Genomic DNA, 27,548 nt, shown 5'->3' with positions numbered 1-27,548 from the left:
GCACCCTAGTGCTCTCAAGAGAGATCTAGAGTGACCGTGGCTGGTACCCATGTAACCCATCTTGGCAGGCAGAGGGAAGAGGATGAGAGAGGAGTATGTGTGGAGGGGAAGAGGAAGGTCTCCCCAGAAGCAGGGTGCACCCAGCCCGATCTTTCCTGCACACAAATCCTAAGGACCCTTCTTGTTCCAAGGGCTATGCTAGATGCTTCCATTATTTATCCCATTGCGTTCTCACCGCCATTCTGGGAGATGGGTCATGTTCCAGTGTAAGCAGGAGGGTTCTGTCACCAGGAGGTTCAGTGACTCATCAGGGCCACCCAGCCAGGCAGCAGCTTGGTGCAGTTCTGCACCAGGCTTGCTTGACTGCAAATCAGGCCCCCAGCTGCAGCCCAGCCCTTCCCAAGGGGGCTGTGTGGGACCCAGCTTCCATGGCATTTCCCTGGGGTGCCAGGCTAGTTCCATTTGGGCCATGGACTGTGCCTTCCCCCAAATGCGTTCATCCAGAACCCTTGGCTGCAGGGCCTCTCCCAAGACTGGCTGCTCATGGTCACCTCTAGAATGTGGCCTTTCCATGACAGGGTGAGGAGGCTGGAGCCCAGGGTTACCTCACATGCTGAGTCCCAGGGCAAGAGAGTTTGAGACATGTCACAGAGAAAGGGAAGGGCCGGTCACCAAACAATGCTGGGCATGGCGGGGGCAGAAGGGTGGCACTAAGGAGAATGTGATGCAGTTGCTGGTGGCGTCTGCACGTCGGGGCTTCTTGGGACTCTGGCTCCCGCCGACATGTGCTCAGTGGCTCTGGGGCATGCTCTGAGATTTGTGACTTGTCCTGGAGAGTCAACACTGTCTTCCTGACATTGGGACCAGGGGCCTGGGGAGTGCAGGTGAGAGCCCGCCCCTAGCACCTAGGAGCTCTGGGTGGCTTTCGCCTGCCACCTGTTGGCTCCCTGGGCTGGCCTGTCTCAAAGGAGCACTTCCTCCACCTGATCTTGAGTCCCCTCCTCCCCCAGCGTCCTGTGAGTGGGCGAGCAGGTCTCTGCTTCCCTGCATGGCTTGGAGCTTCGACTTTGTCTCGGGCAGGCAGGGGAGTGTGGGGAGGGGCTGAGCCTCACCTTCCTGTGGGCATCCCGCCCCACCATCCAGCTGGCACCCCCTGTGGACATCTCCCCCCAGCCTCTTTCCTCTCCTGGGCAGTGAGTGACTGCCCGCTTTGAGCCACGGGGGCCCTTTTTGGAGAAAGGCCATGTGAAAAGGGATTTCACATTGAGGTCTGCTTCCTGTTTAAGGGGGTGCTGAGAGCTCTTTGCAGAAGTGCAGCCACCCACCATGCGGTCCCCTACAGCGCCCTCAGGAGTCCCTCCCACAGCCTGGCTGCCCCTTTTCTACACAGTACACACATGGATGCACACGCAGCCCCTGCCTCAATGCCCCCGTCACCACTGACCTGGCTCTGCATGTGAGGGGTGTGCTCTGTGCGTGTCCTGCATGGGTGCACCTGTGTGTGTGCAGTGGTGCACAGGAGTCCGCGTTTATGTGCATGTGTGTGCATGAGCACATGTGTGTGTATGTGCGCACATGGTTGTGTGTGCATGCAAGGGCCCAACCCAAAGCTACTGACTTCCCCCTCCAGCCCTCATCACCTCCTGGAAGGTCCTAACCAGCCAGGCCTAAGTTCACACCCAAAGGATTTGTTTTTTTCTTCCCTTTTCTTTCCGTGCAAATTTCAATTAATACAGTGGTTTCTAAAGCCTGTCATTTTTAAGAGGCTGTAGTTTTTGTTTAGTCTGTTCTGGGTCCCAAACCAGCAACTTGGAGAAGTTGGTGGGCAGTGTTGGAACAAGGCCTGGGAGACAGATGCAGGAAGAGTGGAGGGCCAGGTGGAGGGCAGGCGGGCGGGGCCTCTGTGGGCAGCTCCCGCCCACACAGGGCAAAGGGGAGAAAACTTCCCCATCCTGCAACTGACACTGCTGATTTCTGCCTCCTCAAGGGCTGTGGGCAGCCTCTGAGCCTGTTGTGTAGGGAGACTGGGGCTCTAAAAGGAGAGCAGAGGAGCGGGGGTGGGATGACTCACCCCACCTCTGCTCTGGAGAAGGTAGAAGCGCAGAGCTGTGTGCTGGGGGAGGTGGCGTGTCCCGGCAGCTCAGGGCCAGCGATTCAGCCCCCGGCTGCTCAAGTGCTCTGCTGTCCCTGCCCCTGTTACCTTCCCCAGTGTCTAGGTGGTCCCCGCCAGTTCAGCTGGAGCTGCTCGTGTGGAGGCCAGGGCCGTGAGGCAGTTGAGTTGGAAGCATTTTCTCAGGCTTTTTGGACTGGGGGCTCACCTATGAGGAGGCCTGGTGTCGATGGGGTGGGGTGCACCAGGCATGTCTCTGGGATGAGCAGAGGCTGAGGGAGCCCCCTGCCTTTCCCCCACAATACGGCCTTCTCCATCCACACTGGGACCCCTTCCAAGGCCACTTTCTGACCTGAACTTTGTGCTCCAGAAGATTTCACCTCTTTGGAAAGAGCCAGAGACACTTATGGGCAGGCTCAGCCTTCAGGCTGCCTGAGAGCAGCAGAGATGGGGACTTGAGGACAGACCACTTCTCCCACCAGGACAGGTTCTGGCTTTGGAAGCCCTCGCTTTATGGAAGGGCCGAGGCAGCCAAGGGGATCTAGTGGGGCCCTGAGTAGACCCTGCCCCCAGTCCCCTCTCTTAGCTCCACCGTAGCAGCAGGATCAGGACCAGCCACCCCCGACACCCCCTGCTGCCCTGCCTCCGTCTTCCTTCTTCTGCTGGTTCCTGTGGGGGTCTCCCGAGGAGGAGCTCCTTGGGCTTTGTGAGGCCAGCCGATGGGCTTGGAGTGAAAGTGAAGGCAGTCCGATTCAGTGAGGCTGCACCTTTTCTCCTGGATCAAGAGCCAACCCCAGGCTGGGTGGTGGTGCACACCTGTAATCCCAGCACTTTGGGAGGCCAAGGTGGGAGGATCACTTGAGGCTAGAAGTTTGAGACCAGCCGGGGCAACATAGCGAGACTCCCTTATCTACTAAAAAAATTGTCTAAAAAAAAAAGAAAAGAAAAATTAGAGCCAGCCCCAGCTGGAACAGAGTCTGCCGTCCCCTCGGAAAGACGTGCCTTGACTCAGGGCACTGAGCTGACTGCAGCTGTTGGGCAACACACGCCCCAAACCTTCATCCACCAGGCAGGAAAGGAGCTGCTGGTGAGCCCTGCCCCAGGCCTCGGCCCTCATGTCGCCTTCCCTCCCACGTAGGACCTACCTGGAGGAGGAGCTCACGAAGGCCCGGAAGAAGCCCAGCCTGCGGAAGGACATGTACCAGAAGATGATCGAGGTGGACCCCGAGGCCCCCACCGAGGAGGAAAAAGCACAGCGGGCTGTGACCAAGCCACGGTACATGCAGTGGCGGGAGACCATCAGCTCCACGGCCACCCTGGGGTTCAGGATCGAGGGAATCAAGGTGAGGCCGGCGAGTGAGGGCAGCCTCGGGCCCCACCCGTGCCCACCTCAGGGGGCTTGGCTTCTCTCAGCGCCCTTTGGAAGCTGTAAGCTTCTCCAGGCACAGGCTCAGAATGTGGGTGGCCCGCCCCAAGGCCAGACATTTGGAGACATCAGCCTATTCCTCAGGCGGGATGGCTGTGTAGGGGGCTCAGGCCTCAGAGCAGAGTGGCTTCTAGCCCTGCCCAGCTGTCAGCCCTCTGCCGAGGACTCTCCATTTAGCCCAGACGGTGCCTGGCACCGAAAGCCAGGCGAGAGGCACCTGCGGGATGCCTGTGGGGTAGCTGGTTCATTCTGCCATGGCTGCAAACTGGGACTGGCAGACAATTCGGGGAAGGGAGGAGCATGCTGACCGCCTTTGATGTTGGAGCCAGGGTCTCTGAGAAACTGCATTCTCTCTGCTTTGCTCTTCGATCTTTTTTTGGAAATTTTAAAATATTTATTGGAACAGAAATAGAAACATAAGCTCCAAAGAAACAACATGACAAACTTTATAAGTAAATGTAATTTTCCCCTAATTAATATATTTACTTTGTGTTTGTGGTTTACAAAATGATGGCTCTTTCCCTTCTATCCCTTTGTACCTATGTGTATCTGGCAGGAAAGTTCTTAGCTCTGGCTATGGGCACACAGAAGCTTCCTATACATGATTATGTTCAAATGTTGATTTACTTTCCCCAGAATAAATTGGGGAACTGGCACTGTCTGGATTGGTGACTGTCTGGATGATCTCCCTGTCCCTGGGCCCCTGTGTGCACCCTTGCTGTTAAATTTGCAAGAGCCGGGCTTTGGGGCGCCGGCCCCTCAGGGTCTCAGAAGCTGTCCCTCTTGAGCAGATGGCAGTCCCTGTGGGGTTGTCGGGTCTCCCATTCTCTGTCCAGTCATGGTCTGCATCATCTCCAGTGTCCAGCCTGGAGTCAGGGTTGGGCAGCCGATGGTCCTGATGGGAGGGTCCCCTGAGCCTCCTTTCAGATGGCATTTAGACGTAGCTTCCGCAGCTGTCAATGGCTCGCTGCCCACGGTGGCATGTGGGGAAGTTTTTACCTTCCCCCGGGACAGCTGCTTTGCGAGCTCTGGGCTGAGAAAGGCATTTGCCCCCTTCTTTGTCTTTTGAAACCAGCCCTTCCCTCTTTTTTGCATCCAGCTCTGAGACTGGATGCAAATTCCGTACCCATCCGCCTTCTCCTTAACGCTCGCTTTCCTTTCTTTATTAGAAACAATCCACTTTCCCTTCACCTCTCCCTCTCGAGCAGGATGTGCTCCTGGTCTCTGTCTATTGTCCAGCCGTCAGAACAGCCGACAGCCTGTCTTCCCACTCAGAGAGAAGCCAGCTGTCTTCACCATCACCTGCCTGCCCCGCCCTTAGCTAAGAGGCTCTGCCTGGGGTGCACTGCCCACAGCCCCCGGCTCTCGGCCCCTCCTGCACCCAGGGCTGCTCCCTCAGCCCCAGGTCCTGCCAGTCCTGTCGAAGGCAGCCACAGTGAGGACACAGCTGAAGTACTCTCCAGCCTGAGGGCAGACACGGCCCACTGTTGGGACTCCTGGTGGAGCATTCCCTTTGTCCCTAAAGAACAGATTTCCTCATAGGTCAGCAAAGCCCCACATGAGGGCCCAGGACAGCCTGAACAGAGATAGTGCTGGGGCCAAGAAGATGGGAGTGGGGTGGGCGAGGGAGCAGAGATGGGCAGGGCTGTATTGGATCCTGGCTTTCAGAAAACGTGAAAGAAGAGATGGTAGATTATAAAGGAAGTCAAGCTGAGCTCAGGGCGGGAGCAAGTCTCTCCTCCCTGTGCTGAGGGGAGGTGCCTCTGGCGGGCAGGGACCTCCGGGCACCGGTTCCAGGGCCCGGGCCCCAGAGTGGGAAGTCGAGGCCGACCCTCTCTCTTGGCCCTGCTGTTGCACCCAGGACAGGCCAGCCCCGGGTCATGCTCCTCCATCCTCAGCCTGGATGCCCTTCACACCTCCGGGCCTTTCCTACCACTGTTCACTCGCCTGGGGATGTCAGCGCCACCCTCTGCGTTCTCCTGTGTCTGGGCACAGGGCAGGCTCCCCTCTGCTGTGCACGCCACCTCCATGCGCCATACGTGGACACCTGGGTGCCTCCACTGGCCCTGCCCCAGGTTCAGATGGGGCTCGCCTGCTCTGTGGTGTTGGGTGGGTGAGAACAGTTTCTGCCCGAGGGTCCCTGCTGACCCCCTCCTGGGTGGGGTGTTCTCTTTCTCAGAAAGAAGACGGCACCGTGAACCGGGACTTCAAGAAGACCAAAACGAGGGAGCAGGTCACCGAGGCCTTCAGAGAGTTCACTAAAGGAAACCATAACATCCTGGTGAGTCTGGCACCTCCAGAGAGGGTCTCTCCAGCCAGCCAGGGAGGGACAACTGTGTCTACTCTGGAGGTGCCCATGGGGAGGACAAGGCACCCCCAGGGACAGCACACCCCAGCCCGAGTTCGTAGGGCTCTGTAGAGAGGCCACTGGCAGAGACTTTTGTGGCTCTCTCACTCTGCCCTTTCAAAAGTCAAAGGCACGCCGGGCACAGTGGCTCACGCCTGTAATCCCAGCACTTTGGGAAGCTGGGGCAGGTGGATCACCTGAGGTCAGAAGTTTGAGACCAGCCTGGCCAACATGGTGAAACTCCATCTTTACTAAAAACACAAAAATTAGCCGGACATGGTGGCGCATGCCTGTAATTCCAGCTACTTGGGATGCTGAGACAGGAGAGTCACTTGAACCTGGGAGGCGGAGGTTGCAGTGAGCTGAGATTTTGCCATTGCACTTCAGCCTGGGCAACAAGAATGAAACTCTGTCTGGGAAAAAAAAAAAAAAAAAAGTCAAGGGCACTGAAGTTAGTACCCAGGAAGGTTTGTATCCATCCTGGCCCCAGGCTTCTGCTTGGAAAGTAAAGAAGAAGGCGATGTGCTTGTCCCTGGCGTGCGGCGGGTAGGCGGGGAAGCTTGGCGGACACTCACTGACTCTCCCTTAGCCATCGGCCCCATAGCTCCAGAGAGCATTTCCCATGCCCTGAGAGAGAGAACAGTGCCCGCCGTCTGCCAGGTGTCATGCCAAGCGTGCAGCAAATCTTCACAGCAGACCTGCTGTGGGTAGACCTGCTTGTCCCCATCTTGTGTGCCCGAGGTCACGCTGCTCCCTGCCAGCAAGAGCTGGCGAGCTGTCTCCGAGTCCAGGAGTGTGGGTTGTACAAGTTCATGACAAAGTTCTGTCTTGTGTGTTGCTGCTGCAGCGGCTCGCAGACTGGATAGATGCTCTGCCCACAGGGACCAGAGCACTGACCCTTCCAGCTGAGTCAGGGAATATTGTGCCACTGTGCCCCAAGTGCACGGCTCCCTGGGACAGTCAGAGATCCAGGCACATCTGGGACACGGGCCCTGGAGCCCCTGTGAATGGCACCTTCTGAACAGTCCACAGCAGCTGCAGAGCAAGTGGGGGCGGACCAGGCAGCCGTTTCTCCAAGGAGACTCAGTACCGGCTGGAACTGGGAAATCTTCCTTTTCCAGCTGGGGAGGCTTCCCTTGGCTCCTGGCAAGCTCTGAGGCTGCAGGCAGGGGGAATGTGCCTGACTCTTTCGTAGCCCAAGTCCTCCAATTCCTGAGTCCCTTGCAGGGGAGGATCTCAGCCCCTAAGCAGTGGCCACCATGGAACATGCCTCCTATGCCTGGGGTTTGTTCCTGGTGCTGAAGACTCCAGGGGGCTGCTCGGCTGGCCCGGCCAGCTGTCACTCTTTTCCAGCAGGCATTGAGGAACTCTGTGTACCTGTGTATGACGAGCTTCCCAAGGCAGCCCGGGGGTGAGACCCACAGAGCTGGCTTCTGGGGAAGATGGGGCACCCCCCAAGGCCAGCAAAGCTTGACATGGGTTTATAGGGCTCCATGGAGAGGGCACTGGGAGAGATATTTGTGGTTCTCTCTCTTACCCTGTCCTTTCAAAAGTCAAAGGTACTGACATTTATGCTGAGAAAGACGCCACAGCAGCCCTGCTCGCAGGAAGCTGCCTCTAGATGTCCGGCGTTTAGGGTAAAGCACATTCACGGGAGGGACCACTAGAGGCCGCATGGGTGTTCTGACACTGCCCTTCCCCACGCGGCGCTTAAAAATCTGGTCCTCTTTCTATTCCCAGATCGCCTATCGGGACCGGCTGAAGGCCATTCGAACCACTCTAGAAGTTTCTCCCTTCTTCAAGTGCCACGAGGTAGATACTGGGCTTTTGCCCTCTTGAGCAGAATGCTGCGCGTGCCAACAGGCCTTCTCCTTCTCCTTCCAGAAGCCCGGGGCATCGGGCATTTTCAGGGTGGTGCAGCCAGAGGCAGGCCATCAGGGACCAGACCCTCGCTGCACGGGGGAGCTGCGTCTCAATGCTTCCTGGGGTGACCACACGGGCTGTCCTGCCTGAGACCCCTGGCTATTGCCCCCTTTCTCCTCCCTTGTCCTTCCAGCTCCAGAGTCTTGTCCATTCTGGGCAGTGGTGGCAGGACTCATATCCCACACACCCGTGGTCTCAGGGCAGAAGCTCTCTGAGCTGCTAGAGTAGCCAGGCACCCGCCGACCGCCACCTACATCTTCAGATGAGACCCTGAGGAGGGCAGGCAGGTCTTCAGGTGCCACTCTCGGGCAGGGCTGGAATCTCCCAACTTTGCATACGTTGGTTGGCAGGGGCAGCAGGCAGCAGGTGGGGAACTGAGACACCTGAGAGAGGCTCTGGGAGGTGTCGGCAGGTTCCCTGGAGGGGTGTGAGACCCTGACATGGGGAGTCCAGGTCCCCAGCCACATGACACATTCACACACACATTCACAGATCCCACACTCATCAATCCTATACCACACACATTCACAGATCACACTCATAAACCCTACATGCACACACCTTCACAGATCACACTCAAACCCTACATGCACACACATTCACAAATCACACACATTCACACACATGCAGATCAATCACATGCATGCACACACATTCATACAGCACATTAACACAAGTCATACGTATACAAACACACACATGTATTCATATATCCACACACATTTTTGTGTGCACACCCACTCATACACAAACATGCATGCCTTTCCCAGTCTCACACACACACACACACACACACACACACACACACACACACAGAGCTGCAGTCCTGGGGCTGGCTAATCCCATGGGTGGGTGGGTGTGAAGCGGGATCCTGCGGCTCCCTGCAGCTGTGTAGGTAGTTCAGGAAAGCAGCCCCTCTCGTAGGGACTCTCTTGTGGAGGTCCTCTTGTATGGGGTCTTACATGGAGGTGGCCTCAGCCTCAGCCTATGCCCACAGAGAAGGCTGCGGAGCCAGCAGGAGGAACTCATAGGGTCAGCCCTGAGGCAGCCAGCAGGGCGGTGCATCTTTCTGCAAACTACACCACCAGGCCTCCTCAGGCAGATGGTCTACCTTGCTCTGCATGTCATTCCCTGCGGGGCGCCTGGAGAGGATGGCTGCGAGGAGGGGGTGGCACACCCAGAGAGGAGACTCAGGCTTTGCTGTGCCCCTAGCAGGGAGCTCGGTCCTTCTCGGAATGTTCTTTGCTCTCCTTGTCCCCCAGACCCTCAGCTCCTCCTGTGGCCTCTCCTTTCCACTTGATGAAGCATCCTCCTGCCACCTGCCAGAGCCCCCTTTGCCCCAGCTGCCTCTCTGGACGATGGGGGTGCTGCCTGGCTGCCTGACCCCAGGGGCCAAGCCTGGGAGAACTTAAGGCCACAGAGCTCTGTCTCAAAGCCGTTCCCACCCTTCTTCAACACTTCTGCTTTTATTTCTTGGAAAAGCATTTTGTTCTACACTTTTTGGGGTCTCCCTTAAGGTCTAGAAAGAGGCCAAATCAGCTTGGGTCTGTTGTTTTCCACCTGCGAAGAGGAAGCCCCTTTTTTGGGCTCAGCCTCGCCAGGGGCCCCACCTGCCCTGCACTGCTGGAAGCTGGAATGTCACCTGAGCCCTTTCTGTGCCCCCGGCCTTCCTCTGGCCCCACTGAGGTGATGCAGGGGTATGTGTGGCCATATTTGGGAAAGCGCCTCGCTCCCATGCAGAGGCTCTGAGCTCACCCAGGAGGGGCAGGCTCTTTGGTGCCCACTATCCCTGGGCCAGGCTGGGAAGGCCCTATAGGGTCTGCCCACGCTGAATCTGCAGGGGTTGTGCTGCTGGGGTGGGGGTGCTGTGTGCATTTGAAACAGGTTCTTCACCACCCCCGCCCCGGGATAGTTTGGACGCTCCTGGGCACCTTCCCCTTCACTGTGGTTCCCTGCAGAGTGTTTGGGAGGAGTCAGGTTCTAGGAGGCGGAAGGGCGAGGCCCCAGATTGGGTTGTGGTCTAGAAAGAGTGGAAAGTTTGCCCAGGTGCAGTGTGATTCATGCCCGTAATCTCAGCACTTTCCGAGGCCAAGGCAGGAGAATGGCTTGAGCTTAGGAGTTTGGGACCAGCCTGGGTAACATAGTGAAACCCTGTCTCTACAAAAATAAAAAACAAAAAGTTAGCCGGGCATCGTGGTGCATGCCTGTAGTCCCAACTACTCGGGAGGCTGTGGTGGGAGGATCGCTTGAGCCTAGGAGATCAAGGCTACAGTAAGCTGAGGTTGCACCACTGCACTCCAGCTGGGGCGACAGAGTAAGACCCTGTCTGGAAGGAAGGAAGGAAGGGAAGAAAGGAAGGAAAAGAAGGAAGGCAGGAAGGAAGGAAAGAAAGAGGGAGGGAAGGAGTGGAAAGTGTGCAGGCCAGAGTCAGGGGGTGAAGGGGTGCCTGCTGCTGCCCACACAGAAGGGTGGTCGCCGACCCTGGAACCCGATGCCCTCTGCCCAGGCATGGCCATTCTTGGGCCGGCTCTGCTGCCTGTCTGAAAATGGGGATTGGAATTGCAGGCACCCAACTGTCCGGCCTGAGCGAGCCTCCCCACCTGGTCACCCAGGCCCCGGGCCGCAGTGGGGAGGGCGAGGCCCGGGCTTCAGCTCACCCTTCACCCCCATGTTCTCCTCAGGTCATTGGCAGCTCCCTCCTCTTCATCCACGACAAGAAGGAACAGGCCAAAGTGTGGATGATCGACTTTGGGAAAACCACGCCCCTGCCTGAGGGCCAGACCCTGCAGCATGACGTCCCCTGGCAGGAGGGGAACCGGGAGGATGGCTACCTCTCGGGGCTCAATAACCTCGTCGACATCCTGACCGAGATGTCCCAGGATGCCCCACTCGCCTGAGCTGCCCACGCCCTCCCTGGCCCCCGCCTGGGCCTCCTTTCCTCCTCCTGTGCTTCCTTTCTCGTTCCTAACTTTTCCTTCACTTACACCTGACTGACCCTCCTGAACTGCACTACAAGACACTTTGTAGAAGAGGAGATGAGAGTTTCTAGTCATTTTCCTAACTTCAGGGCTTGGAGGTGGTGTTTGCACTGCTTTTTGTAGAGAGGGTCACCTACTAGAAGAGAAATGCCCAGTCTTAGAGGTGGGTCAGGTGTAGAGCTGGAGGGGGTCCCTGGCTGCTGAGGGGACCCTACCAGATGAGCCCTGCCTCTGGGAGCCCCCTAGGAAGCACCAGCCTGGACCTACCACCTGCGGAGGCCTGCTGCCCCCTGGCGGCCAGTGCTGTTAGAGTGCTGCCAAGCACAGCCTTATTTCTGCCGGGGCCTCCCCACCGGAGAGCCCAGGGGGCCGGCCGGGTTCCTGGTCCCTGGCTGGGAGCAGGGCTTTCTGGTAGTTGGGGCACAAAACCATCGGGGAACCACATGTTGACTGTGAGCAAAGTGTCTTCCGATTAGCAGCCTCAGGGATGCCCTGGTGGCCTCTCCAGGGCTGCTCAGGCAAGGCCCCCCACCCATCTGGTATGGAAACCTGCCGGCTCCAGGCCAGACCCAGGAGCCAAGAGAAGGCTGAAGCCAGCTTGGCTGTGTTCTCTGATCTAGGCCTTCCCAGAGGAGGCGAGCAGAAGCTGTGCCACTTGGAATTGCAACCCATGAGTTCAGAAGGCACACTCTGCCATGCTGAGCTCCAAGGGTGCTACCAGGGGAAGATGGGATCTATAGAGTCTCTGGGCCCTGGCCCCAGGGAGGAGCACATTTTTCTTGACCCTCACCTACCTGGTGCTAGTTGGTCAACCCTGCCTGCATACATGGGCTCCTGTCATGGGGCCCAGAGTCCCTTGCAGATATAGAAATAGGGGAGGAGCTCAGGTCTGCGCCAGGCAGGAAGAAGGCAGGCTTCTGGCTTCCAGAGGTGCCGCGGTGGCCTCCTGGCATCATTTGTTATTGCCTCTGAAACAAGCCTTACTGCCTGGAGGGCTTAGATTCCTGCTTCTCCAATGTAGTGTGGGTATCTTGTAGGGTATGTGGTGGATGCCAGGGCGTGCTCCAGGCACCTCTTCCTGAAGTCTCTGCATTTGGAGATTCGTGGAGAACCTATTTAAGCCCAATTTTAACTGAAAGCCAGTGAGTCTGATATGGAAGGGAATGTAAAATTTGCCTGACTTCTTAAGAACAAAACCCCCAGCTCTGTGCCCCATGCTCCTTGGGGCTTGCCACCCACTCCTTTGCTGTCAGAGGTACAGGAGCTGGGAGAGTCCAGGAGCTAGGGACACAGAGGGAGACTATGGACCAAGGTGTGTGTGTCTGGAGGAACCACTGCCCACCCCACCACCCCGGGGTCTCTGGGGAACTGTCAACCTGCCCACGGGACATGTACATTTCCCCTTTTGTGCTGGAAGTGTGAGTGACACTTGCTGGGGGTGGAGGGTGGGACACATGAGGATGTATAAGTACAGATTTTAAAAAAGGAAATCAACTTACACTTCCTGGCTCTTGTTTAAAACAGTGGTGAGCTCCTGTGTGGGCCGACTTGCTAAAGGTCACACACGCGCCCGGTGGAGCACGAGAGACCTCGTGGCAGCATGTGATCTGGAAGGCAGGCAGGACGGGGGCGTTGGGGAGCCAAAGTCAACTCTGGGCCTCTGGAGCTATAGTGACTTTTGGGCTAGAAGGGACCCTGGTGGTCTGTGCTTCAGCCATTTGCAGGGCAGGGGCATCATTAATTCAGACGTAAAGATTCTATGAATATGGACTGGCCAAAAGTTATCCTTACTCCATCTGTGAAAGAAGTTTGCTAAAGCAAATCATGATATGAACAAAAATTACAGGGGACCTGTTTAAGAGAACAAAATGTTCCAAGCACTTTAGGCAGACACCAGCTGTTTGCAAACAATGTGCTAATATGCAAATGATGTGCTTATTAAAGGAGGCCCATGGGGCCTCTTATTGGCAATACTTGGCTGTGGGTTACATTAAATATGTGAACATAGTATGAAGTAGCATCATTTTAGGGTTATTCTGTTACTTAGGGTTTTTGTTTTCTGTTTTTTTTTTCTCTTTTTTTGTATTTACCGTGCTAGTTCTCTTCTACACCTACTCTGTCTCTCAAGCCATTTTGCCACTCGCTTCCCTGCCATCTGGCCCTTCCCTTTGTCTCAGTGGGATAGATGGATTGTGAAATGGAATCTCCCAGAACCCCTGCCCTGGCAGCCTGGAAGACCGTGCCTGCCCAGCCCTCGTCACCACAGGGACTCCTTGGGTCCTGGCAGTGCATGTGCCAGCAGGCAGGACAAACTCTGTGTACCTGTGCCCAGGTGAATGGGCGCAGGGTCCTCTTGCCCTGTCCTGCGGGGGGCCCCACGAGTTCCTGGCATTCAGCACTGCTTAGCATTCTCGGAAGGTTTCTTCAACTGCTTGCTTTTCCCAGGCTTGCCTTTAGTGTCATGTAAGACATTTTTAAGTTATATTTATTTTGTTGGGTTTTAAAATTGCACAGAACACTAAGACCGAAAGGCTGGACTCTTGTTTCTCCTTGAAAGCTTTGCCTTTGTTTTGAACTTCCTTTCCCACTTGGTAGAAAGAGCCCAGAAGCAGCCCTGGCCCTGTAAGATGGACTCTTTCATCCTTCAGTTGTATTTAGCTTTGAGTTTCTCTGCATCTGTCCACCCCATGTGTATATAACCCAGCCCCTGGCTCTGGGGTGGTCACCTCGTCAGTGCCTTTTGTTCTGGAGGAGAGGACCCCCCCCGCCTGCCGAGAGGCTCTCTTCCTGTTCTGCACCCCTCTCCCCATGGGACCTTGGAGAAAACTGAACTGTTACAAACCCCTGCACAGTGCCTGTCAAACAGATGCAAACCTTCCTGAATAAAGCCTTGGAGACCAGCGCTGTCTGTGGTGTGATCCTTCTGGCCCCCAGCCCTGAGACCTGGCTGAGGGGCAGGCTGGGGAGTCTTAGGAAGCTAGAGGGCCCACATGGGGGCTGTTAGGGGAGTGGGTGTCAGACTGGGTAACATTTTAATTTGTAAAGAATATAAACCACTCTCCAAAATGAGTCTTTTCAACCCTCATGAAACTTTGAAATAGTAGCTCAGAGACTAGAACATCAACCAAGAAGCACTGTCCCCAAGTAGGGGGGTCTCCGGTGCAGCGATCGCTTCTGGGGCCTTACTCTAAGCTAGACTGGGGCTGAACACGCCCATCGGAGTTCCCGTTTTACCCAGATCAATTCCCTGAACAAAGATTTATAGTCTGTTTTACAGATGAGGAAACTGAGGTTTAAATGAAGCAACTTGACCTAAGTGGGGAGCAGGGATTTGAATCTAGAATGTGCCTTGATTGAAAACCAATTTTGTCGTCCTCCTAACTGGCAGTGGGGGGGTGTGGGGAGCAGTGTCTGGAGGGCAGAAAGCTTGTCTTATTTTTGTCCCAGATCCCAGGCTCTAAGCCTCTGACTTGGCACACGGTAGCAGCCCAGGGAGGGTCTGGAGAACTAGTTCATGGCTACTTGGCTGGGGCATCCAGGAAAGACCTTTGGGGGTGAAGCCCCTGCCACACATCATGATGGTTTCACCATCTGCTACCGTACACTTTTCCTTTAGTCCTCTCCCTAGCTCTGGATTGCTGGGGGCTTCATTTGCAGAACTCAGAATTCTTTATTTGGAGGTGGAGGTCCTTCCTTCTTCTCCTTTCTCCTTTCTTGTTTCCTTTCCTCCCTTCCTCCTCCCTCCCTCTTTTCTTTTCTTTTCTCTTCTCTTTTCTTTTTTCTTTTCTTTTCTCTTTCTTTCTTCTTCTTTCTCTCTCTCTCTCTCCCTCCCTTCCTTCTTTCTTCTTTTTGCCTCCTCCTCTTCCTCCTTCTCTCTCTCTCTGTTTCTTTCTTTTTTTAACAGTCTTCCTCTGTTTCCCAGGCTGGAGTGCGGTGGCACGATCATGGCTCACTACAGCCTCCACCTCCTGGGCTCATGTGATCCTCCCAACTTAGCCTCCTGAGTAGCTGGGACCACAGGCATGCACCACCACGCCCAGCTAATTTTTTTGCATTTTTTGTATAGATGGGGTTTCACCATGTTGCCTAGGCTGGTCTCAAACTCCTGGCCTCGACCAGTCCTCCTACCTCAGCCTCCCCAAGTGCTGGGATTACAGGTATAAGCCACCGCGCCCAGCTGCATCCTTTCTTTATCATCACTCTGAGAAGTGATAGGCTGTGAGTACAGATGATGAAAGCCACAGGGCCTTTGCACCTGCTCTCCACAGGCTGGCATGTGGTAACTATGCTTCCTTCAGATTTTTGTGCCTTCACTTACATGGTATTGTTGGTGATGCTACAGCAACCAGCTCTGCAGGTGCCAAGCAATGTCCAGCAATGGAGCCCTTTATTGCCTTGAGAAGGGTGGGCCATCCAACTGCAGAATTCCACCCTGCGGTCTGTTTTCTAAGGAGACCAGCTGTCCCGTTTGTGTCCTTGCAAACCTGGATGGTCAGTCACCAGTTGCTTTCCAGGACCACTGCTGGCACCAATTGCCTTAGCCTGGGCCCCCTAGAAACAGGTCACTGTGGCCACTGCTTGGCAGCAAGTGTGATTGACTCCTTAGTCTCATGGGATGTCTTCAGAGACACTGTGTGAACTGCCGTGTCTGGGGACAGTCCTCCTAGAGGAGGCAGGGATAGAAATATCTGTGCCAGCTCCCGCTGGCTCTGTCTCCCAGTGGTCAGTCTTCCCAGAGGGTGTGATTTCTGGGGTGGCACCGTCAGCCTCTCCAGTAACCATGGAGCCCCTGAGCCTGTGCACAGATGTCACATCTCCATAGCATGTCCCTGCGGTGGTGGCAGCATTGGTGATGTGGCTCCAAGACCACAGGCACCGTACTGGCCATGGCTGGGTGGCTGCAGTCTGGCACATTGTGTAAACTAAGTTTGGATGGGACCTTTTTCCAGCAAACGCCAGCAAGGCAGCGTCCATCCAGCCCCCAGCCCCTGCCGGTCCTCTCTGCCCCTTGTATGTCCTCGACTGAGGGCTTCACCCTTTTATTCGATTGGGCAGGAGGCTGGGGTCACATGGGACTGCCCCCCAATTCTGGTCTGGGTAGGGGAGAGAAGCTGAGAATAAAGGAGCTCCGCAGGGTGCCACGGTAGGTTGACTGTGGAGTGCTCAGCAGTGTTGGTGAGAGGAGACCGTCTCCATACCAGGGCACACCAGAACAATACTCCTCGAACCAGTCTGAGAATTGGCGATGAGGGAAAGACCCTGCGAGAGGCACTGGGAGAGGCCTGCTTCTAAGCAGCTGTGGGCCGGGTCAGCCCTGCGACCTCTCCTCCCCACCTCTGCTAGGGCACCACAATCTCTGGGAGGTCTTCACTGACGTCCAGATGGTCGCTTGTGTTAACATGGTAGTTCTTCACCTTTTGGGTCACATATACCTTAGATAATTTAGAGGAAGCTGTAAATCTCTCCAGAACAACTCATATGCATGTACACAAATGATTCTATGTACAAATTTAGGGACCCACGGACACCCCCCAGCCTCCAAAGTCCATTGGTAAATGCCCAGATGGTGTATGGGCCCAGGCTTGTAATAACCCTGCCCAGTAAGACATCATGGACGAGTGGCCCCTTCGCCTGCTGCCTCTAGTGTGTGACATTTCTGTGCGTCAGAGACCTGCCTGGCCCCTGGCCCCCTCTTTTCCACTCCCTTAACCGCCCAGCTTCTGAACAGGCGTCACCTTAGAAATATGGCCCACCTGATTTCCTAAATAGTCTATTGGAAACAGCCATGCCATTAATTTATGTTTGGTCTGTAACTGCTTTAGTACTATAATAGCAGAGTTGAATTGTGTAGTTGTCACGGAGACCGCGCGGCTGCAAAGCCTAAAATATTTACCATCTGGCCCTATACAGAGAAAGTTTGCCAACTCCTGCCTGAGAATAATGGCAACCAGTAGCAATTAAAGATTGCTTTGTGCCAGGCACCATACCAGGTGATTAAAGCTAAGTAGCTTAATCTTTATAAAAAAGTCTATGATCAGCTTCGTCGACCCCACTTTGTAGGTAAGAAAGCAGAGGCACAGAGAGGGTGAGTAACTCATCTAAGATCACACAGCTGGTAGGCAACAGATGCAGGCTTTGAAACAAGGTTCAAAACCTTTCCCTGACTCTGCGCCCTATTCCTGAGCAGTCCAGGAGGTCTCCACAGCAGCGGGGTTTGCCCCGGCACCAGCACTATTCTGGGACTACTGAGACAGCCGTTGTCAAGCTGAGTCCTGGTTTGGGGACCTGGCCAGGCCCTGTGGAGTATGGACAGCTGAGTTGCAGCAACCCTTGGCTCTAGCCCCCAAGATCAACTGGCAGGACTTGCTCTCCAGCAGGACTGGGGGAGTTGGGGTGGGGTGGGGATATGGTTTGGCTCTGTGTCCCCCCACTCAAATCTCATCTTGAATTGTAATCACCACATGTCGAGGGAGGGACCTGGTGGGAGGTGATTGGATCATAGAGGTGGTTTCCCCCCTGCTGTTCTCATGATATAAGTGAGTTCCCACAAGATCTGATGTTTTAAAAGTGTTTGGCATTTCCCCGCCTCGCTCACTCTCTCCTGCCACCACGTAAGACGTGCCTTGCTTCCTCTTTGCCTTCTGCCATGATTGTAAGTTTCCTGAGACTTCCCCAACCATGCAGAACTGTGAGTCAATGAAACCTTTTTTTTCTTCATAAATTACCCAGTCTTAGGTAGTTCTTTATAGCAGTGTGAAAATGGACTAATGCAGGTGGGGACCCTGGGTCTCTCTAAGGAGGCACTGTTTTTGTTCTGGGCTCTCTGAAACCCTTCAGGGGAGCACAACCTAGGCACCCCCCACACCCCAGTCCTCTCTCCTCACAGCAGACTGACTGTGCAGAACCAAGTTTACTCTTTAGCTCACAGGCTGGCTCCCATGCCCTCCCACAGAAACACGGAATATTATCCTAGTTCCCACAAACACCTCGAAACAGTGGACAAGTCATTTTTCTTGCTGTTTTACTGCAACAGCTGTGGCCCGCTCCTGGCATTTCAAGTGCCATGCATGGGCCTGAGATGACAAATTCAACAAGCAAGTGAGAAAGGGAATGGCAAACCAGGAGTGAGAAGATGGATTTCATGCTTTAGCAAGACATGAGGGCTTGCAGGGTTTTTTTTAAACAAGAAAATAACGAGTTGATGTAATAATGACAACAATAATACAAGAGAGGGTCAAAGTGCCATCAGACACCTGTCTCAGTCTGTTTGGACTGCCATAAAAACACAGCACACACTGCATGGCTTAACTGAAATGTATTTTCTCACAGGTCTGGAGGGTGGAAAGTCCAAGATCAAGGCCAGGCTAGTTCAGTTTCTAAGGAGGGCTCTCTTCCTGGCTTGCAGACAGCCACCTTCTCACTACGTCCTCACACTGCAGAGAGCACACTCCTCTGCTTATAAGGCAACTAGCCCTATTGGGTTAGGGCCTCACCTTTATGACCCATTCAACCCTTACCATCTCCTCACACGCCCTATCTCCAAATACACATGAAGGGTTAGGGCTTCAACATTTGAATTTGGGGTCGATAACGGTGCATCTGTTGCTAACTAACATCCTGGACGGTTTCTAACTTCCAACCTGTACCTTTTCAAACTTGTGAATGAGTAAAGCAGTTTTGGGGGGAAAAAGTGCAATGCTAATTTCTGTGGCTTTCAATGTGGCAACATGTGTTTGGGTTATTTTAAAAATAGCTTCTGCAAATTATGGACAAACAGTATCTTACAGAGCCAGTTTGCTGTCGACAGCAGCCCTGTTTTTATTTCAATGGAAAAAAAAATGCCCAATTTTAGTCATGCTTTCTGAGAACACGTGCTGGAGTGAGATCAAGAGGGCCGCCTACAGAGGCGTCTGAAATAGCCTGGCGCCGCCTGCAGAGGCTGCCCCCTTCTGGACGGTCGGGTGCATTACAAGGTGCCCGAAGAAAAGGAAGACGGGTCAGGAGCTCAGCGACGTCCAATCCTGTACCCCCAGGAATGCCCTGGAGAAGAGAAAGCTCCCTTTCTTTCATGGCTTCTCCCAGCCTGGCTACATCTTTGCCCTGGCAGAAAGGCAGTGACCATGGCAATGATGAAGGAATCGCCAAAACCAAAGGTTAGGGAGGGCTTCCTGTGTGCTGGGCAGGGTGGTGCACACTGTACACCGGTTACTTTATTTCATCTGTACACTACTAGCACCCCCAGTTGAGGGGGGTGCTATTAGTGTTATCATAAATACATGTATAAATTAGGAAACATGCTCAGAGAGATTGAATAATTTGACCAAGTTTGCACAGCTAGTGAATGCCAGAGCCAGGATTAGAACCCAGATATAGGGCATGGCGTGGCAGTGGTCGGGTTCGCAGGCACATGGCATGCAGTGTGAAGAGGGCCGTGGTGGGGCAAACATGGGGCTCCACGGAGTACAGAGGAGGCCTGACCCAGGAGAGGGACAAGAAGGTCACTGAAGGGAGGCTTTGCAGAGGACGTGGCACCAGGAGATTGGAGGATGGAGCAGAACATGAAGGTCACAGAGGCACCTCCAGAGCATGCTTCATCTGGAGTCACTCCAGGCAGTGGGAGCAGAGGACCCTTGTGGAGCTGGTGAAGGGGTCAGGGCTGGATCACGACCTGGGGAGCCAGGGTGAGGCGCATGGACTTTCCTGCAGTGACAAGCAGGTGTCCTTGGAGGCTGTCAAGGTGGGGCATGATGAGATCACATTTGCATGTGATGGGGTCACTCTGGCTGCCTGTGGCTTAAAGAAGGGAAGACAATGCGAGGAGATTCATTAGGAGGAGGTCAGGTGAAGCAGAGGAGAGATGATGGGGTCCTGAAGTGAGGTCAAGGCCATGAGCAGGAGAGATGACGATGAGGTTGCATGGATGCCCTTCCACTGTGGCTGTAACATCGTGGGCCTGGGTGTCCCGAGAATGACTGGCTGGTAGGCCAGAAGCATGGGGATGGCCCACCCTGAGCTGGGAGCATGGGAGGACAGGCAGGACTGGAGGGCAGGGGAGCAGGGAATGAGTTTAGTTGAGACACATCTAGTTACAGGTGGCTGTGGGACATCCACATCTGAGGCCAACTGGACACGTGGGCCTGGAGTTCAGGAACCAGACCTGGGCAGGAGTCATGGGGATAGCATCAGAGGATTGCTGGGGCGCAGCAGGCAGGCAGACACACACTGCCGCACTCAGTGAGAAATGCAGAATTGAGAAGTGGATGTGCCAGTGAGTCCTGAAGTTTCAGAATTAAAAGAAAAACATCAGATTATTAACAGAGATTGGTTTGAGTGATGGGATAATGAGTGGTTTCTCTTTTTTTTTTTTTTTTTTTGAGAGTTTTGTTCTTATTGCCCAGGCTGGAGAACAGTGGCGCGATTTTGGCTAACTGCAACCTCCGCCTCCCAGGTCCAAGCGATTCTCCTGCCTCAGCCTCCCAAGTAGCTAGGATTATAGGCATCCACCACCACACCTGGCTAATTTTTTGTATTTTTATTAGAGATGGGGTTTCATCATGTTAGTCAGGCTGGTCTTGAACTCCTGACCTCCTGTGATCCACCCGCCTTGGCCTCCCAAAGGTTTTTCTTTTCTACCTTACAGTTTTTTGCTTACTTAAAAATTTCCCAACAAGCATAATTGGCTTTCATAATCAGAAGTATGTACATGCGTAAGGATTTTGTTCTAGTCACTGTTTTGTGACTAAATCATCCGGAATCCTCCTGACAGAGATGGGCTCCCCTTCCGTGTCCCCGAGCCCTTCTTTTTTGGCACTTATTCCACACTGTGAATTGTCATCATCCTGGCATCCCCAGCTGCAGCCCGGGGCCTGGTACATAGTGGCAACTTGGAACCTGTTAGTTGAAGGAATGGAAAAATAGAACTTAGAGGGCCTACCACAGCCCATGCACCCCAGTGAGCAGGTGAGACCTTGGGACCACCCCCATCCCCCACCACCCAGGATCCATGACAGTGCCCTTGTCAGGATTAGAACAGCACCTGGGCTTGGGCAGGGGCAGTAACTTGCTGTTTATGGAGCTCACAAATTCTTAGTAGAATCTGTTTATAAAAAAACAAATCTAACTATTTGTAAATGCTAAAACTCATGAAATAAGGAGCAATAACAAATAATATATCAACACATACATCAATGAGCTTGTTAAAAAAGCTATGCTACTTTTGTAAGGGACAATTTGGCAATAAGTATTCCATTTTTTTTTTTTTTTTTTTTTTGAGACAGAGTTTCGCTCATGTCGCCCAGGCTGGAGTGCAGTGGTGCGATCTCAGCTCACTGCAACCTCTGCCTCCTGGGTTCAAGCGATTCTCCTTCCTCAGCCTCCTGAGTAGCTGGGACTACAGGCGCCTGCCACCATGCCTGGCTAATTTTTTTGTGTTTTTAGTACAGACGTGTTTCACCATGTTGGCCAGGCTAGTCTTAAACTCCTGACCTCAGGTGATCTGCCCACCTTGGCCTCCCAAAGTGCTGGGATTACAGGTGTGAGCCACCGCGCCCGGCCAGCATTCCAGATTTTTTTAAGCACATACTCAAGGGCCCAGCAAAACTTTCCAGGTTTTTATTTACAGATACCATGGCCCACACGTCAAATGACATTGGTACAAGAATGTTCCTTTCTGGGACAGTAAAAGATTGAAGATGACCTCTGTGTCATTGTGGGGGCTGGTTAAATACATACCTACACCTTGTGCAGCTCTTACATGAATGAAGCAGCTATCAGCACTGAGAAGGAGCACTCCCCAGGTTGTACTGTTAACTGGAAAAAAGCTAGGTTGGTAACAGTTTGTGATGGCAAGGAATTCTCTAGTAAGGACCCTTGTATCTGGAAAGGAGACCCATCGGTAGATTGGGGAGGAAGGAGGTGGAGTTCCTCCCACAAAACTGGGTCCTTCTGTTACTTTTAGTTTTGTACCAAAACTCTAGGTACTGCCTTTATGAAAAAATTAATAGAGTAAGATAAATAGTAGTGAGACACAATTTATCACAGGCTATAGCCAAAGATGCATAGTAAACCACTGTATATCAATGGTATGTTTTCCTCTTTCAAACAAAGTTCTGCTCAGAAGGAGTAACGTTTGAGAGGCCAAAGCAGGCCAAAGTGGGAGGATAATTTGAAGCCAGGAGTTCAAGACCAGCCTGGACAAATAGTGAGAGCCCCATCTCTAAAAAAGTTAAAAATATCTGAGCTTAGTGGTGAGCCTGTAGTCGAGGCTGCAGTGAGCCATGATTGTGCCACTGCACCCCAGACTGGGCAACAAAGTGAGACTGTCTCAAAAAAAAAAAAGAAGTAACCTCTCTCATTCTCTAGCAGCAACACAACTGTTTGTTGTATCTATCTTTTTTTCTCTGTCCAGGCTGGAGTGTAGTGGTGCAATCATGGCTCACTGCAGCCTCAACCTCCCGGGTTCAAGCTGTTCTCCAGCCTCAGCCTCACAATAGCTGGTACTACAGAAGCAAGCCACCACGCCCGGCTATTTTTAAAAAATTATTTTCTGTTGAGATGGGGGGTATCACTATGTTGCCCAGGCTGGTGTTGAAGTCCTGGCTTCAAGTGATCCTCTCCTCTTAGCCTCTCAAAATGTTGGGATTACAGGTGTAAGCCACCGTGCCCAGCCTGTTTGTTGTATCTTAACCGATTCTCTTGAAAGTTAAGATGGGCTGGGCATCCCAGCACTTTGGGAGGCCGAGGCGGGCAGATCAGTTGGGCTGCCACCAACTGGAGTGCAGGTTACCAACTGGAGTGCAGGTTACCAACTGGAGTGCAGGTTACCAACTGGAGTGCAGGTTACCAACTGGAGTGCAGGTTACCAACTGGAGTGCAGGTTACCAACTGGAGTGCAGGTTACCAACTGGAGTGGGGGTCATCAGCCCCACTGATGTCCTCTGTGTGGCTGGGATAGAGCAATAGAGCAGGCAGAGTGGTGCTCAGGTCCACTTGGGAGCTGAGGAGTCTCCAGCCCTGCTCAGGTCTATGAGAAAACTCCAGAAGGAAAGAACAGGAGCAAAGATGAGAGTGAGCCAAGGGTCCTGTGGTCTGGATGAGGGGTCACTCTGCAGAGGGTGCTGGGTGGACCCTCTGACTTGGATAGACCATTATGGGCCCAAGGACAGCAGAGGCCAGTTCTTTCTTGCAGGAGGCAAGTGTTTCTTCCTTTTGTATTTGTAGGAAGAATTTGTGATAAAATGGCATTAATTATTCTTTAAATGAGGCTGTTAGTTAGAACTAAATATAACAAAAGAAGTGCAAAACTTACCTTTGAAAACTATACAACATTATTGAAAGAAAGTAAAGAAGACCTAAATAATGAAAAGATATCCCATGTTCATGGATTGGAAGACATAATATTGTTAGAAAATGGCAATATATGTCAAATTGACTTACAAGTCTGATATATTCTCTATCAAAATCCCAGATGGCTTCACTGCAGAAATTGACAAACTGTTTTTAAAATTCACATGGAAACAAAAAGACCCAGAATGGCCAAGACAATCTTGAAAAGAGAAGAAAGTTGGAGGACTTACATTTCCTGGTTCAAAACTTACTACAAAGCTACAGTAATCAAGTGGTACTGGCATAAGGATATACATATAGACCAATGTATATCCTTATGGGATAGAATTGAGGATCCAAAAATAATTCCTCACATTTATGTTCAATTGATTTTTGACAAGGGTGCCAAGAAAATTCAATGTGTTGGCCAGGATGTGGAGAACTTGGAACTTTATACACTGCTGATGGGAATATAAAATGGTGCAGTCACTTTGGAAAACAGTCTTGCAGTTCCTGAATAGGTTAAACACAGAATTACCATAAGATCTTGCAATTCTACTATTAGATATATACCCAAGAGAAATGAAAATAGATGTTCAGACAAAAACTTGTATACAAATGTTCCTAGCAGCATTATTCATAATAGCCAAAAAGTGAAAACAACCCAAATATCTAACAATTAATGAATGGGTAGATATAGCTGGTATATGCATACAATTGAATATTATCTGGGAATTATAAGAAATGAAATGTTGATACATCCTACAATATGGATGAACTTAGAACTCATTACACTAGTGAAAGAAGCCAGACACAACAGACCACATGTTGTATGATTCCATTTGTATTAAATGTCCAGAATAAGCAAATCCATAGAGGCAGAAGGCTGATTAGTGGTTGCCTAGGCCTGGGGGGTTATGAAGAAATGAGGAGTAACTGCTAATTGGTATGGGGTTTCTTTTTAGGGTGGTGAAATGTTCTAAAATTGATTATGGTGACTATCAATAAGAATAACAGTGCAGCCCTAAAAAGAATGATAAAGATATATTAGACACAACTTTATGCTCACAAATTTAACAATTCAGATAAAATGGACAAAGACACAAACTACCAAAACTCACTCAAGAAGAAATCCATGAATTGAATAGTTCTGTATTTATTAAAGAAAATGAAGTTATGTCAAAAATCTTTCCACAGAAAAAACACCAGGGCCAGATGACTTCACTGATAAATTCTACTAATCATTGAAGGAAAAAATACTATAATTCTCTATATAATTCTATACCAATTTTTCCAGAAAGTAGAAGGCGGGAAACACTTTCCAATCCATTTTATGAGGTCAGCACTATCCTAATACCAAAACCAGACAAACGCATTATAAGAAAATGACAGACCAGTATCTTTCATGAACATAGAAATAAAAAATTTTAACAAAATATTAGCAAATCACATCCAGCAATATGTAATAAGGGTAATAACTTATGACCACATGGAGTTTATCCTAGGAATATAAAACTGGTTCCAGATTGAAAATTAATCAGTGTAATTCATCATATCAACAGTTTAAAATATACACATGATATTAATAAATGCAGAAAATGTGTTTTAAAAAATGCGGCTGGGCATAGTGGCTCATGCCTGTAATCCCAGCACTTTGGGAGGCCGAGGTGGGCGGATCACGAGGTCAGGAGATCCAGACCGTCCTGGCTAACGCGGTGAAACCCCGTCTCTACTAAAAATACAAAAAAAATTAGCTGGGCATGGTGGCGTGCGTCTGTAATCCCAGCTAGCCGGAGGCTGAGACGAGAATGGTGTGAACCTGGGAGGCGGAGCTTGCAGTGAGCCGAGATAGTGTCACTGCACTCCAGCCTGGGTGACAGAGCAAAACTCTGTCTCAAAAAAAAAAAAAGCAACATTCATGGTAATAATGCCAATAAACTAGGGATAGAAGGACATTCCTTAATGTGCTAAGAGTTTCTACAAAAAACAAAAGCAAGAATACTTGGATTTGCCATTATACTTAATGGTGAAAGATTAACTCTTTTCCTCCTAATCTGAACAAGGAAAATGTATTTCCCCTCACCACTCCTATTCAACATTGTACTGGAAGTTCTATCCACTGAAATAAGACAAGAAAAATAACTTTTTATGAAAAATACATATTGCAAAGGAAAAAGTAAAATTTTCTCTATTTTTAGATGGCATTATGGTCGACTTAGAAAATCCAAAAGAATTGTACAAAAAAAAAAGCAACTAAAACAAGCGAGCTTTGCAAGGTTGCAGGATACAAGGTAAATACACAAAAATCAATCATATTTCTATATACCAGCAATGAGCAAATGGATATTGATATTTTCAAGACAATATTATGTGTAATAAATAGCACCCCAAACCATAAAATACTTAGGTATATGTCTAACAAAATATGTGTAGAATCTGTATGCTGAAAACTATGATATGTTTATGAAAGAAATCAAAGGGGGGCTAAATATATGGGATGATAAATTATGGTCATGAATGAGGAGACTCAATCTTCTTCAGATGTCAGTTTTCAAAATTGTGGAGGGAGGAGCAGGTAGCTCATGCGATTAAACTCTGGGTGAAACAGGGCTAGCACTGGCCTTGGGGATGACGGCATGAGACATTCTCCCTCCATCTCTCATCTCTGCTCTCCTCTGCATGCTGGCCTCTTGCTGTATGAGGTGGGAACCTTGGTTATGGGTAGCTTCAGGAGGAAAAATCGTTTTCCCATAATACCAGTTAGAAAGATCTCATTGAAGACCCCGATCATTCCATATTAGCCCACGGAGAAGGACATGCTATTGGTCTGGCTGGGGCCACAGGCCCACCTTTGCTCAGGGAGGGGTGGGCTCTGGGACCGGCAGCCTCCCCAAGAATCCCATGGGGCTCATGAGGGAGGAACTGGCTCTTGGATTACAGGGTGGAGGGCAGAGACCAGCCTTGTCTCACACCGGTGGACATGGTTCTCGGGCTGGACCTGGAAGCCGGGCAAGGTTTTGGTGGGGAAGTGTGAAGGGCTGTATCCCACTCAGGGGACAGCAGATGCAGACTGTGGGGACACCGTCATGCTGGAGGACCGGGTGCTCAAAGCAACAACATGGATTTCTTTGTAATAAATTCCATACATCACCACCTCGGCTTTTTCAAAGGATTCTGGATGGGTTTCAGGTTTTCCCAGAGGCCAACAGCAGAGGTGGATCCTCTGTCCCCTGACTTCCGGGGCTCCCCTCCTGGTTTGGAACCTCAGAAGATGGGGTAGCTTCTGGGAGTTTGAAAGTGCTTATTTCCTCTATTAATGGCATTCTTAGTTTGAGAAGTTTCTTTGCTTTCTAGAGTTTTTTTGTTTTTTGTTTTTAGCATAGCTATTTTTGATGAAAATATAAATATCCACCCCTCTGACTGCGAGACAGCTGTAGGCTCCTGCTCTGGGCACAGATAGGCCTCCTCCTCCTCCTCTGAGAACTCTTCCAGACTGAGTCCCTTTTGGGGGCCCTGAACTCCAGGTCCAGCAGGCACAGGAGGCACCAGCCCAAGGGGCTATTCACAAGCCAGTCACGTTCCAGTGAGGACAATGCCTCCCCTGGCCACTCAGGTCTCCAGGTTATCCCAAGGATACTGGCGGGGGTGAGGGTCCCAGGAGCAGCTGCACAGCCATGCCTCCCAACAACCAGGAAGCAAGTGGGCCTTAGAAGTATCTGAGGCAACCCAGGGCACAGGAGATGCTGTCGCCCTGAGCCATGAAAGCGCCACCACACTCAGGTGACTTGCCATGCTGTGTCTTACCTTGCTTTGGGGATCCCCCTCTCCTCCTGCTGCCTGCCAAGTGAATATCTCAGCAATCCGTGTGTCACATCATTGTGTTAGTTAGCTAGGGCTGCCACAACACAGAATCACAGGGTGGGTGGCTTAAACAACAGAAGTTTATTTTGTCACAGCTCTGGAGGACAAAAGTCCGAGATCAAGTTGTAGGCAGAGTCAGTTCCTTCTGAAGCCTCTCTCCTTGGCTTGTAGATGGGTGTTTTCTCTCTATGTCTCCATATGGTTTTTGTTTGTTTGTTTGTTTGTTTTTGTTTTTTGTTTTTTTAGACAGTCTTACTCTGTCTGTCACCCAGGCTGGAGTGCAGTGGTGTGATCATGGCTCACTGCAGCCTTGAACTCCTGGGCTCAAGAGATCCACCCACCTCAGCCTCCTAAGTAGTTGAGAACTTACAGGTGTGTGCCATCATGCCTGGATAATAAAAATACATATATATTTTAGAGATGGGATCTTGCTATGCTGCCCAGGCTGGTCTCAAACTCCTGGCCTCAAGTGATCTTCCTGCCTCAGCCTCCCAAAGTGCTAGAATTATAGGCATGAGCCACTGTACCTGGCCTGGTCTTTTATCTGTGTGCTGTGTATGTGTGTCCGAATCTCTTCTT

At 51.7% G+C, this 27,548-nt stretch overlaps 1 protein-coding gene across 1 annotated transcript in view, besides 10 other annotated features; it reads left to right on the top strand.

Moving 5' to 3' along the window:
* Positions 1-13,684, top strand: part of ITPKB (inositol-trisphosphate 3-kinase B) — a 107,593-nt gene extending 93,909 nt beyond the window's left edge. Inside the window, exons 5-8 of the mRNA NM_002221.4 lie at positions 3,249-3,453; positions 5,716-5,817; positions 7,624-7,695; positions 10,488-13,684. Coding sequence (NP_002212.3) covers positions 3,249-3,453; positions 5,716-5,817; positions 7,624-7,695; positions 10,488-10,703 — 595 coding nt within the window. The 3' untranslated portion in view covers positions 10,704-13,684. The remainder of the gene's footprint in view (positions 1-3,248; positions 3,454-5,715; positions 5,818-7,623; positions 7,696-10,487) is intronic.
* Positions 261-926: an enhancer, noted in NCBI's record as "H3K4me1 hESC enhancer chr1:226832149-226832814 (GRCh37/hg19 assembly coordinates)". NCBI's record gives its function as "activates a minimal SCP1, AML or CMV promoter by ChIP-STARR-seq in naive H9 embryonic stem cells {active_cell/tissue: H9 hESC(naive)}" and the evidence as "EXISTENCE:reporter gene assay evidence [ECO:0000049][PMID:30033119]".
* Positions 686-908: a silencer, noted in NCBI's record as "fragment chr1:226832167-226832389 (GRCh37/hg19 assembly coordinates)". NCBI's record gives its function as "represses an EF-1alpha promoter that drives an FKBP-Casp9 reporter gene in an ReSE screen in K562 erythroleukemia cells {active_cell/tissue: K562}" and the evidence as "EXISTENCE:reporter gene assay evidence [ECO:0000049][PMID:32094911]".
* Positions 1,037-1,136: an enhancer, noted in NCBI's record as "active region_2657". NCBI's record gives its function as "activates an Ori minimal core promoter by ATAC-STARR-seq in GM12878 lymphoblastoid cells {active_cell/tissue: GM12878}" and the evidence as "EXISTENCE:reporter gene assay evidence [ECO:0000049][PMID:35858748]".
* Positions 1,747-1,826: an enhancer, noted in NCBI's record as "active region_2656". NCBI's record gives its function as "activates an Ori minimal core promoter by ATAC-STARR-seq in GM12878 lymphoblastoid cells {active_cell/tissue: GM12878}" and the evidence as "EXISTENCE:reporter gene assay evidence [ECO:0000049][PMID:35858748]".
* Positions 1,912-2,206: a silencer, noted in NCBI's record as "tiled region #1086; HepG2 Repressive non-DNase unmatched - State 22:ReprW". NCBI's record gives its function as "represses a minimal TATA promoter and a strong SV40 promoter by Sharpr-MPRA in HepG2 cells {active_cell/tissue: HepG2}" and the evidence as "EXISTENCE:reporter gene assay evidence [ECO:0000049][PMID:27701403]".
* Positions 1,937-1,996: an enhancer, noted in NCBI's record as "active region_2655". NCBI's record gives its function as "activates an Ori minimal core promoter by ATAC-STARR-seq in GM12878 lymphoblastoid cells {active_cell/tissue: GM12878}" and the evidence as "EXISTENCE:reporter gene assay evidence [ECO:0000049][PMID:35858748]".
* Positions 2,261-2,928: an enhancer, noted in NCBI's record as "H3K27ac-H3K4me1 hESC enhancer chr1:226830147-226830814 (GRCh37/hg19 assembly coordinates)". NCBI's record gives its function as "activates a minimal SCP1, AML or CMV promoter by ChIP-STARR-seq in primed H9 embryonic stem cells {active_cell/tissue: H9 hESC(primed)}" and the evidence as "EXISTENCE:reporter gene assay evidence [ECO:0000049][PMID:30033119]".
* Positions 9,427-10,210: an enhancer, noted in NCBI's record as "H3K27ac-H3K4me1 hESC enhancer chr1:226822865-226823648 (GRCh37/hg19 assembly coordinates)". NCBI's record gives its function as "activates a minimal SCP1, AML or CMV promoter by ChIP-STARR-seq in primed H9 embryonic stem cells {active_cell/tissue: H9 hESC(primed)}" and the evidence as "EXISTENCE:reporter gene assay evidence [ECO:0000049][PMID:30033119]".
* Positions 12,317-12,466: an enhancer, noted in NCBI's record as "active region_2654". NCBI's record gives its function as "activates an Ori minimal core promoter by ATAC-STARR-seq in GM12878 lymphoblastoid cells {active_cell/tissue: GM12878}" and the evidence as "EXISTENCE:reporter gene assay evidence [ECO:0000049][PMID:35858748]".
* Positions 17,335-17,434: an enhancer, noted in NCBI's record as "active region_2653". NCBI's record gives its function as "activates an Ori minimal core promoter by ATAC-STARR-seq in GM12878 lymphoblastoid cells {active_cell/tissue: GM12878}" and the evidence as "EXISTENCE:reporter gene assay evidence [ECO:0000049][PMID:35858748]".

This window comes from Homo sapiens, chromosome 1 (genome assembly GCF_000001405.40).
Source record: "Homo sapiens chromosome 1, GRCh38.p14 Primary Assembly".
Taxonomy (NCBI): Eukaryota; Metazoa; Chordata; class Mammalia; order Primates; family Hominidae; genus Homo; species Homo sapiens.
The sequence above is the reverse complement of the archived record's forward strand: the minus strand, read 5'-3'. Positions and strand labels throughout refer to the sequence as shown.